Below are 12,460 nucleotides of genomic sequence, written 5' to 3' on the forward strand. Positions count from 1 at the left end.
TGTAATAATCAAAGCTGTTTCCTTTACACACACACACACACACACACACACACACACACACACACACACACAAATCCAGACCAATTTATACAACTCTTTTCATTGCTATTTGATTGGGAAGAGAAAAGGAAGGGAGAGAGAGAATGGGGAGGAAAACAAGGATAAGGACAGGAAGGTAGAAAAGTAGGGTTGTAAGGAGAAGGTCTGGTGAGGCAGGTGGAGGAGTAATACAGAGAGGGGCATTTGCTTTAGCACTGATGGAGAGCAAACTACCACCCAAATACCATCTCCGGGAAGTCTTTTCTGACCCCTCCTCCTGACTCACTGGCATATCCCCTTTATTAGCCATCTATTACTATTTAACAAATTAACTCAAAACTATCTCACACAGTTTCTGAGTGTTGAGAATCCAGGAGCATTTTAGTGGAATCATTGTGGCTCAATCTTTCATGAGGCTATTGGCTGGGCTGCAATCTATTCAAGGCTTGACAAAGACTGGAGGATTTGTCTCCAATATGGCTCACTGACATAGCTCTTGGCAGGCAACCTCAGTTCTTTAGCAAGTGGGTCCCTTCATAGGCCTTTTGATTATCCCAATATGGCAGCATGATTTCCCGGGGCTGGGGTGTACTTCCAGAAAGAGTAAGAGGGAAGCTGCAATGCCTTTTATGGCCTACTCTCCGGTGACCATGTTATGGATGCTATCTCTTATGCCTTTTAAAATTCTTTGGAATTGTGTTCCAATTCTTTTCTCTGGGAGGTCCAGCCCATGTTCAAAGGAAGAGGAATCAGGCTCCACCTTTTGAAGAGAATATCAAATGATTTGTAGACATATTTTGAACCATCACATCACTTACACTGCCTGGGCTGACAGAGAGGTCCTGAGCTCTTGTGTGGTATAGTAGCATAATTTACAATATCAGTTCTCAGCCCATCAGTCTTTTATTCAATTCATAATAAAAACTGCTAGTAGAAATAATCCCTATGAAATAAAAAGGACAATGGCCCAGATTGCGTAAAGTAAAAGTTGTAATAGATAAAAAGTTTTGCTTGGAGAATCACATCTTTTTAACAAAATTAGAGCTACAAAAATGTGACTGAAAACTGAACTTGTTAAAATAATGGCCGAAAAAGAAAATTTATGATAGCAAAAGCTCTTGCTGTTAGAATTTGATGTGGACAAAAAAAGTTGTGCAATACAATAAAATCTTTATTGTAAATTGACATGGAACATAACTAATCCCAATAAAAATATTCTCAGTAAAACAGCAAAAGAAAATGAAAAAATCAGAATAGTTTAACTGCAGAGTAGAGAAAATTGATAAAATAAACTAGCCTAATGGTGCTCACCCTAAAAACACTATCTTCACAATCAACCTATTTGGTAAAATTCTGATTTAAACACTTGTGTTAGTATAGAGAGCTAAAATGTTCTTGAGATCAAAACAGAGGAGTCTAAATATCTCTGGAGACAAAATGTCTGTATCAACACGTTTATTCATTTATTACATGAATATTTATGTATTCAGTTGTATAGCCTTTTGGGTGGGAGTGGCAGTGGAATAAGGGCTTTCCTAAGGTTGACATCTAAGGCAGAAATTGTAAAAGATTGATAGACTTGACCACAGAAGAACAAATGCAACCCAAAATGCTAACACTAACATTAAAAGAGAAATGATCAACTTGGAAAAATTACTGCATTTTATAGACAAAGAATTGATAGGCTTGGTGTGGTGACTCATGCCTGTAATTCCAGCACTTTGGGAGGCCGAAGCGGGAGGATCACAAGGTCAAGAGATTGAGACCGTCCTGGCCAACATGGTGAAACCCCATCTCTACTAAAAATATAAAAATTAGCTGGGCGTGGTGGTGCACGCCTGTAGTCCCAGCTACTTGGGAGGCTGAGGCAGGAGAATCACTTTAACCCAGGACACAGGGGTTGCACTGAGCCGAGATCGTGCCACCGGACTCCAGCCTGGCGATGGAGCAAGACTCCATCTTAAAAAAAATAATAAAAAAGAAGAGTTGATAAACAAATTTATGCACATCTAAGAATAATCAGTGAGGTAGGCAAAAATGTATGTTCAAGGGTATTCTTTATGGTGTCACACTATTATTCCATAAAAACAAAAATCTAGAAAGAATGAACATATCCTTAACAGAGGCTTGGTTAAAATAAGAAATAAAAGGATGTATCTCTATAATGAAATTCTATTATGCATTAAAATTATGTTTTAGGTGAACATTTACCAATATCAAATGATAGAAATAATATTGTTTTATGAAAGAAGTTATAAATGGGATGTACAATATGATACCATTTGGGCACAAAATGAATGGAAAGATATACAAAGGGTATCTGTAGATAATGAAATTATAGATGTTTATTTCCTCCATTTGCTTTTCTTTTTTAAATTAAATAAATGAATATAGATTGCTTTCATTATTAGAAAAACTGTGATTTTTTTAAGTATAAAAAATACACTCAATTGTAATTAGAAGGCTGTCTAGCTTTATTTGTAGTCTTGATGTAGGGTTCTTTAAATTATTTATACTGTTTTTGGCCAGGCACAGTAGCTCATGCCTGTAATCCTAGAACTCTGGGAGGCCGAGGCGGGAGGATTGCTTGAGCCCAGGAGTTTGAGACCAGCCTGGGCAACAAGTGAGATCCTCGTCTCTAAAAAAACAAACAAAAAAGAAAAACAAAAAAACAAACAAACACAAAAAATTAGCTGGGCATGGTAGCTTGTGCCTGTGGTCCCAGCTGCTCAGGAGGCTGAGGTGGGAGGATCACTTAAGCTTGGGAGGTTGAGGCTGCAGTGAGCTGTGACTGCACCGCTGCACTACAGCCTGGGCAACAGAGTAGGCCTCTGTCTCAAAAAAAAAAAAATCATTTATACTGTTTTTCCTCTTCCTGATGAAAAAAATAACATACTTTTAAAAAAAGAAGCTGGCTAAGATTTGGGTACAGGCTGTAGCTATTACCACCCCCTGTTCAACCCTGCCCCCACAGTCCACGTTTCCACTCCAGTTTCCCATTCCTACCCTCACTCTGAAAAGTTAACCTGACTAGCCAAGTGGCTGATGGAAGGTAAACAATAAAATTTATTTGAAGCAAAGTAAAAAGTTAAATGATTACGGTATACAACCTGCTTGGACCAATCCCTTTATGTGAATATGAATGTAAACATACAAGGCTTGGTAAGGGAATAATGGTTTACTATTAGCACACATCCAGGCAGTTCTTCAATTTCCAGTTCTAGTTATAAATAAATAAAAATTTCCTAATTTAGAAATGGTTGTTATTCTGAATTGTATTTCAAATGGCTGTAATTATTCTGGATTGTGTTCACTAATTTCATGTAACAAAAAATGTTTTAAAATACAGTAAGAAAAAAGAGAGAAAAAATACAGTAAGAAAGGGGCTTAAGCAGATTTTAAATGGATTAGTAAAAGCACTAGAGTATTTCTTCTATTTTTAAAGAAATCTTTTATTTTGGATTTGTGAAGGACTAGGTCAGCACATTTTTAACCCACTAGGCTTTGTTGTTGTTGCTGTTGCTTTTCTTTTCTTTCCAATTCCAGCTTTCATTTTGAATAATCTAAAAGTAAAGTGTTTCTCATATGGCAAAAGTAACATTCTGAGCTATCTAAATTCTATAAAGAATATCATTTTGGATGCCACAAGCTTTTGCCTTTTCAAATTCTCGACGTCAAGCTATAATTTTCCTCTTCCAGTTTTATCCAGAACCTTTAAATTAACAGCATAAGAAAGTAAACAGGAAGTTACATTTCTCTGATGTAGAAAATTAGGAGGAAGATGGGGAACAGATGAGAAAGCTAAATCAGGGAAGGACGCCACCATGTTTTGTTTCTGTTAATCAAATCATATATTCAAAATCCTCCTAGTATCCTAACTAAAAAGATGAAGTATCAAAAAGAAGTGTAATATATTTTTCCAGCTGTCCATAGGTCATAATGAAAGGAAGAAAAAGACCATTTCCTCTGATGCACTGATGATTCAAAATCTATTTAAAAAGAGGTCCATGAAAGTTAAAGCATAGCTCCTAACTAATGTTTCAAAGGAAGATTTGATTTATATTTTTAGAGATTTAAAAAGAAAGAAAATTTAGCCCATATGCCACGACTAGTTCAAATACCAACATATTTGAAACGACAACAATGACTGTTTCCATAGCAAATATGAAACACAAAGATAACATATTTTTGCTTTGTTTTTCTGAATGCTATTAGGAGCCAGTTTTGTTAAAGAAGCAATCAGGACTAAGTCACTTATTTTGGTTAATTAGAGCGATGACCTCCACACTCTGGGATTTCACAATGCAACCAAGTTTCTTAAATGAATAAATGAATTGGAGAGAAGTGAATATAAAGGTATTAACTTTTTCATTTTACTAAAGGAGACTACACAAAAGCTCAATTAGTATCTACAACCACTATCATTTCATAAGAGAAAGGACATTTTAACAGAAAAAAAGCAGAAAGAAAATTATAATTAAAAAATAGTCATTCAGAGGAAAAAAATCAGGTGTATTAAAAAATCACTACATTTTCTCAGAATAAATTTTAATAAAACATAATAGCTTTGTGTTTAGGAACCACTGGGAACCACTTGGTATAGCATTAAGGAGATCAACTTTCCATCTTTAATTCCCATATAAGCTAGTCAAGTTATATTGATATATTTCATGGCCCTAGAATGTGTGTTAGTATGTATTTTTTTGTTACCTGCTAATTCACTGATTCTTTCCTCTATTCAAGAAATACTTGCTGTGGTCTATTATATATTAAGCACTGCTAGTGAAGCAGAATAAGATTGTCTTTTCCTTTATGGAACACAGAAAGAATTACAATTCAAGACAAAACATACCACAAGAGAGCACAGATATATCAGGGACCCAAGAGTGGGGCAGGGAAAGCTTTATGGAAGAGGGGGCATTAAAATCATTAATGAAAGATGAGAAGATTTCCATAGCACATGTTGGGCTCATGAAGGGCATTATAGAGAAAGGTTAACAAAGGCCAAACCAATAAGCCTTAAAAAGACTTAAATATGTTGAAGGTCCTTAGAGCCGTTTGGCTGGATATATACAGGAGGATACTAGGGAAATATGAATGTAAAGATAGGATATGTTGTAGAGGATCTTCAAAGTCAAGACAAATGTTTATATCTGGTAAGCAATGCATAGCCACCAAGCTGTTGAGTGAGAAGTTGAGTTCAAGTGCAGGAAAGATTCCTGAACTTGAATTCAGGAACCATGAGTTTGAGCATCGGTTCTGCTCTTTATCATAAAATCTTAAGGAACTTCCTCAGTCTTTCTGAGCCTCCATTTTTCATGTATAAAATTAGGCTAATCTCTATTGTTTTAAAAAACATTTAGACAAATGCAATTTAGCAGAGTTTATTTGAACAAACAAATAATTCATGAATCAGGGCAACACCCTAAATCCTTAAAGGTCCACAGAGTTCCACTCAGCAATGTGGGCAAGCAGTATTTATAGACAGAAAAAAAAAGTGACATACAGAAATAACCTGATTGGTTGCAGCTTGGAGTTTGCTTTATTTGGACATGTCTGAGCCTATTGCAGCTTATGATTGGCCGAAAGCTTGGTGGCTGTGATTGGTTGAGATTCAGTTACTTGTTACAAGAATATACTCTCAAGTTAGATTGCAGTTTATGTACTAAATTAGGTTGCAGTTTGCTGTGTATGGAGGCAGCCTTGGGCCAAATTTAACACTACGTTACATGCTATTTTACGATTAAATTAAATAAGATTCAGTATGTGAAAGGCCTAGTACAATCTCAGACACATGGTCTGAAGTCCCTAAAGTTTGCTGACTGTGGATATTTGTTGAATCCTCAAAGTTTGGTTTAGGAAGGTTAATGTGTTAACGTGTAAGTTCAAAAGAGAGAAACAGTAGGCGTATATGAGAGGAAATAAGACATTTGTGGGAATGGAAAAGAGTACATGGAAGTGACAGACATTTGGATTGCTTGCATGGGGTGAGATGAGAGAAAGGGGGAGCTCAGGGATGACACATTTTAAGCAGAGAAGGGTGTCATTAGTAGAATTTGGAAGATTGGGACTAGAAGCCAAGTAAGAGGGAAATCTCATGAGTTTGTTTTTGATATGCTGAATTTGAAATCCTAGGACTATATCTGGGTTAAAACGCTCAACAAGCTTTAGGAAGCTACTCAGGAAAGGGATCAGGAGCTGAGATACAGATTGGGGAACCACCTCCATAGAGATGAGGGTTGAAGCCAGAAAGAGATCATTGAGCCAAGTTGGGGACAGTAAAGGACGGAGGTAAATAAGGATGGACGGAGTCGAGTAGCTGCCCTGCTGGGAAGGCAAACAAACAAAGGAGGTGAAAAGGGCAGCTGAAAAGGGATTCGAAAAGTGACAGTGAACCAGGTGCCTAAGGGAAGTCCCTGGAACCAGAGAGAGAAGATAGTTTTAAGAACTCCAGCCTGGGCAACATGGCAAAAACCCATCTCCACTAAAAATACAAAAATTAGCTGGGCGTGGTGGCGGGTGCCTGTAATCTCAGCTACTCGGGAGACTGAGGCAGGAGAATCACTTGAACCCAGGAGGCGGAGTTTGCGGTGAGCCGAGATGGTGCCACTGCACTCCAGCCTGGGTGATAGAGTGAGACTCCATCTCAAAAAAAAAAAAAAAAAAAAAAAAAGGAACAAAGGGACACTCATAAGAACTACAAGCTATAGAGGCCAAAGGAGAAGGAGCACAAAAGTCACGACAAGGAGTTGTAATAACTTTTGTGAGAATAGTCTCAGTAGTATGGTGGGAGCAAAAGCCACATTGCTGGGAAAGATTGAAAAGGTTAGTTTCAGAAATATTATTAATTTATATTTTAAGTAAGTAAAAATGAGAAGGTGTGAGCCACCGCGCCCGGCCTCCTTCCATTTTATTTATTTATTTATTTTTTATTATTATACTTTAAGTTCTAGGGTACATGTGCACAACATGCAGGTTAGTTACATATGTATACATGTGCCATGTTGGTGTGCTGCACCCATTAACTCGTCATTACATGAGGTATATCTCCTAATGATATCCCTCTCCCCTCCCCCCACCCCACAACAGGCCCCGGTGTGTGATGTTCCCCATCCTGTGTCCAAGTGTTCTCGTTCTTCAATTCCCTCCTTCCGTTTTTTATTTAGTCTCTACCTTAGCTGGAGGATCCCATTTTCTGCTGTTACCTCCCCTTGCCTTTCTATACAATCGTATCTTAAAACTTTCTGGAAATAAAAAAGTAACTACTGCTCTAAAGATTTAAATCCTGAATACTAGGCAGCGGACTGATTTAACTTTCAGTTATAACCTAGTAAAGTATGTAGATGTCATCCTCCTATCATAGACTATTGGTAATAAGGGTACTTTAGAATGTGCCTGGTTCTATCTACCCTGTTGTTTTATTGCAGGGGAAACCTGAGAGGAGGGAGGTGGCACGTGTTTCCTCAAATCACATGGCAGATATAAAGAGCAGCACTGGAACCCAGAGTCCATCCTCCTAGCCTAGTGCTTTTTCTGTTACCTCCTAACACCCTGACCTGCCTTCAATGATGTTAAAAATAAAAGAAGCATTGCCCATTGTTGGAGGCTAAGGGTTCTTGGTTTAAGTAGGGGATTAATCAAGGAAAAATGTTTTAGGGGTCTGGGAAAATATGGTGCTGTACCTGGACACCTGAGAGCCGGGTTTCTCTGTTTGGTTCAGACACTGACTCACAGTGTGACTCTGGAAAGTTATGTGGCCTCCCGGTGTGTCAGTCATTCCAGCCACACACTTGGCATCATACTACGCAGGCCTCGCTAGAACTATTGTGAAGGTTGATGAGGTAATTCTTATAAAACTTTGCTAGCTATTCCAATGAAAGCCACGAGTGTATCTAGAAATGATAGACTGTCAGATATATAGCACAGACTCTTCTATCTCATGTTGGTTTATTAGAGGCGGCTATACTTCAACCAAGTGAACCTCTTATTGTCATCAATTAGCTTAGCATTCTTTCTCCCCTCTTCACGCCCACCCTTGGCCATTCTTAACCTGGTTGATTTGAAGTTTACTTATTCTAGTCCCTTGAGTTTCAAAGGAACGTAAGGTCTTCACCACTCAAAATTAAGTCTTCTGCCCCTTGGTTTCTCCAGCCACCAAATGAGGATGATAATAGGGGCTGTGGTGGGGATTAAATAAGTTACTATAGGATCGGGACTGCTACATAGAGAGTGCCAATAACTGTTAGCTGCTATTAGTGTAACTTATTGAAAGTGAATGATAGTACATGTGTATATGCCTTCTATTTAAGAAAATAATGTGAAGTCCTACTTATAGTGCTTGCTGGTTTAGTACTTCTTTGCTTCTGAGGGGACACACTGAAGACGTCTATAGGTGAAGTCACAAGGCTTCTAACTTACGGAGATAAGGACATGACAATGAAGGAGAGCTGGGCTGCTCAGGCCATAGGATTTCCAAGTTTTCTTACCAAAACTTTGCTTCTTCAGCTGTCTGTTTAACATCGCATCCTAGCACCCAGGGGCTCTATCAATACTGGCTGATGAATGAATGAACTTATGAATCTATCAGACAGAGAAATAGAGGATCGCCATATGGAAGGAAGTCTGGCTGGCATTTTGAATTCTCCAGGAGAAAAGAGAGAAACATGTTTACAACAGAGAGAAGGAGGGCTGTCTGTGCGGGAATAAGGGTAACTGTTGCTCAATGAACTGAGCCCCTAGGCCTGGAGATAAAAAGTAGAGGGATAGCTGTGCAGTTGGACAAGCAGGTCCAGAGAACCACTGGGTTTTGTTCTGAACAAAGTCAGATATCTTAAGGGGAAGTGGAGAGCATTTCTTTTTGACAGTGATATTCTGCAGAGATTTCCAGGTTTTAAAAGGATCATTCTGAAGGTGACACAAAGAACACCCTATTAGAGTGTCTGTCTCCCTGAAAATGAATCCTTCTTCTTTGTACTCAGGGTGTTTCCCTCTTAATAATAGCCTCCTACTATGACCCCAAGTTGTTTCACAGCCTCCCTGACAGTAAAAGCTGCTCATTGTTTAGGCATTTTGTTTTTTCCCATTCCTAAACACACTCCTTCCCAGTTGGGGTTCTAGTAATGCCATCTCTACTAAATGCATCACCATTGAATCAAGGGACAAGTTGCAGCAACTTACTTTGTTTCCTTCTCTTCCTTGTCTTGTTCATTTAGGTTGAAATAGTTTTCAATGAAATCCAACAAGTATTTACCCAGCACCCATTGAGAGCAAACTACTGTGCTAGGTCACATGCAACATCAAGGTGATTAGGCACGATTTCTGGCCCTGAGAATCTTGTATTGGCTTGCAGATTATTATAATGACTGGTAAAATGTTTCAGTATCTCTCTTCAACCTTTCTGGGCTATAGGTTCTTCCTAACATGATTTATGTGCTCTAGAATTCAGTCAAAGTTGCATTTGAGAACATTAGATTCAACAGATGTCTCCAAGAAACCTTCCCAATCCCTCCACCTATATATGGTCTGCCTGCAAGCTTTTTTTGGTTTGTTTTTTGTTTTTGTTTTTTTTTTGAGATGGATTCTCGCTCTGTTGCCCAGGCTGGAGTGTAGTAGCATGATCTTAGCTCACTGCAACCTCCGCCTCCCAGGTTCAAGCAATTCTCCTGCCTCAGCCTCTCAAGCATCTGGGACTACTTGCGCACATCACCACGCCCAGCTAATTTTTGTATTTTTAGTAGAGATGGGGTTTCACCATCTTGGCACGGCTGATCTCGAACTCCTGACCTTGTGATCCACCTTCCTTCAGCCTCCCAAAGTGCTGGGATTTCAGGCATAAGCCACCGCACCCGGCCTTTTTTTTTTTTTTTTTTTTTTTTTTTTTTGAGACAGAATCTTGCTATGTTGCCCAGGCTGGAGTACAGTGGTGCGATCTCTGCTCACTGCAATCTCTGTCTCCTGGGCTCAAGCAATTCTCGTGCCTTGGCCTCATGAGTAGCTGGGATTACAGGTGTGTGCCACCAGGCCTGGCTAATTTTTGTACTTTTAGTAGAGACAGGTTTTTGCTATGTTTCCCAGGCTGGTCTTGAACTCCTGACCGCAAGTGATCCACCTGCCTCAGCCTCCCAAAATGCTGGGATTACAGGCATGAGCCATTGTGCTTGGCCCCTGACTGCACTTTATATCTCTTACAGCACTTATCACTTTTACATTGTATTATAAATTTATTTATGTACATGTTAGCCTCCATAATGCGGAAAGAGAGCAGGCACAGGGAAAAGTGCCAGAGGAGTGGAGCCAGAAGACCTGTGCTTGAATTTGAAGCCAGACTCAGATATGAATCAACCATGAAATCTTGGCCATGCCACTTAATCTTTGCAATTCTCAGTCCTGCATCTAGAATTGGAAGACAATAATAATTCCTACTTCATAAAATAGATATGGAAATTAGTTATCATATGAACATGCTTTGTGAGTTGTTATCTATCTGTTAATTTTATTAACCTCCATGTGATACAGCAAAGGGCCTTCCTTGCCCATGAGAAAAACCCTATTAATATTAATTAAATTATTGGAAAAATTACATCAACCACCCTCTGGCATATTATTATTTTCAAATTCTTTTCATATCCCACATTGTTAGCAAGCCTCATCTGTTGTGTCCTACTAGGTTTAAGGAGGAGTGTTTACAGGGATTAAACAGAAACAAAGGGACCTGCTTTTTGATGGAGCTGCCCTCTGCCTTTACTAGTTGTGCAGAATAAGAGTAATTAATTTTTTTTTCTGAGCCTTAGTTTTCTCATCTGTATAATGAAGATAATACAGGATTTTATAATGATTAAAATTAGATAATGCTAGCGCTTTGGGAGGCTGAGGTGGGAGGATCCCTTGAGTCCAGGAGTTTGAGACTAGCCTGGGCAACATAGGGAGACCTCATCTCTACAAAAAATAAACAAAATTAGCTGGGTGTGGTGATGTGTGCCTGTAATCCCAGCTATATGGGAGTCTGAGATGGGAGGATTGCTTGAGCCTGGGAGGTTGAGACTGCAGTGAGCTGTGATTTTGCCATTGTATTCCAGCCAGGGCAACAAAGCAAGACCCTGTCTCAAAAAATAATAATAATAGGCTGGGCGCAGTGGCTCACATCTGTAATCCCAGCGCTTTGGAAGGCTGAGGTTGGCGGATCACCTGAGGTCAGGAGTTCGAGAGCAGCCTGGTCAACATGGTGAAACCCCATCTCTACTAAATACACAAAAAATCAGCTGGGCGTGGTGGTGCGCGCCTGTAGTCCCAGCTACTCAGGAGGCTGAGGCAGGAGAATCGCTTGAGCCCTAAAGGTGGAGATTGCACTGAGCTGAGATCTTGCCACCACTCTCCAGCCTGGGCGACTTAACAAGACTCCGTCTCAATAATAATAATAATAACAACAACAATCACTTAAAAATAAAATTAGATAATGTATTAAAATGAGACGTGAGGAGCTAGTGATTTAAGTAAGCTCAGTATGTGTTAACTTTGATAATATTCACATGTAGTCCATTAATTGAGCAATTATACTATGGGGCTGGGCACCGTATAGCTGCTGGAGATATACCCTGTCATCATGTCATCAATGGGAAAAACCGACAAGTAACTGATTATTGCCACACGATGTGACAGATGCTACGACAGAAATAAGAACAGGGTGCTCCGGGAACAACAGGGGAGGCACCTGTGTGACAGCCCTGACTGGAAAGTTGTCAGCAGCTGTCAGGGAAGGCTTCATGGAGGAAGTGACTACTGTGGAGTTTGAAGGTGCAGTAGGAGTAAGCTGGGTGGACAGAGGAACCACCCTGAGCAAGGAGGTAGAGATCTGAGAAGGCATGCTCATTGAAGAAAATAGAGAGCAGTTCTGACAAAATGAAGCTATAAAGGCCTGTAGATGCCAGATCACAAAGGGCATTAGCTTGTTTTGTGAAAGAATTTATGCTCTTTTCTGAGAGAATGGGGAGGCATTGTTGGACGTGTGCCCTCTCAGAGATAAAATTTAAGTGGAGAGCACTGAGTTAAGAAAATATCTCGATATCATGAAATTAACACAGGTTTGGAGCCCCCACAGATCCTCAATCCTGGTTAAGTTCCATGTATGACCTAATCAACTCCACCTCTCTTTCGTGGACAATCAGCAATGACATCTACCTCTCAGGATTATTGCGAGGGCTAAATGAGATAGTGCAGGTCAAGTTCGCTGCAAAGTGTGTGTCACATAATGAACATTTTAAGTAAATATCAACTCTTTTCGATGAAGCACTGTGTAAGTAGAATACGAAAGCTATTGCCAGGCCTCTCCCTCCTCCCTCCCTTCCTTTTCCTCTCTCAGCAGTGCAGGCAGCAGCAGCCAAAAGCCAGGGACGTGGAGGATGTCCACTGAAGCGAGTACTCCAGA

At 39.7% G+C, this 12,460-nt stretch overlaps 1 annotated feature.

Annotated features, from left to right (window-relative positions):
• Nucleotides 12,249-12,328: an enhancer, noted in NCBI's record as "active region_2302". NCBI's record gives its function as "activates an Ori minimal core promoter by ATAC-STARR-seq in GM12878 lymphoblastoid cells {active_cell/tissue: GM12878}" and the evidence as "EXISTENCE:reporter gene assay evidence [ECO:0000049][PMID:35858748]".

The sequence above is a fragment of the Homo sapiens genome, chromosome 1 (genome assembly GCF_000001405.40).
Source record: "Homo sapiens chromosome 1, GRCh38.p14 Primary Assembly".
Classification (NCBI taxonomy): Eukaryota; Metazoa; Chordata; class Mammalia; order Primates; family Hominidae; genus Homo; species Homo sapiens.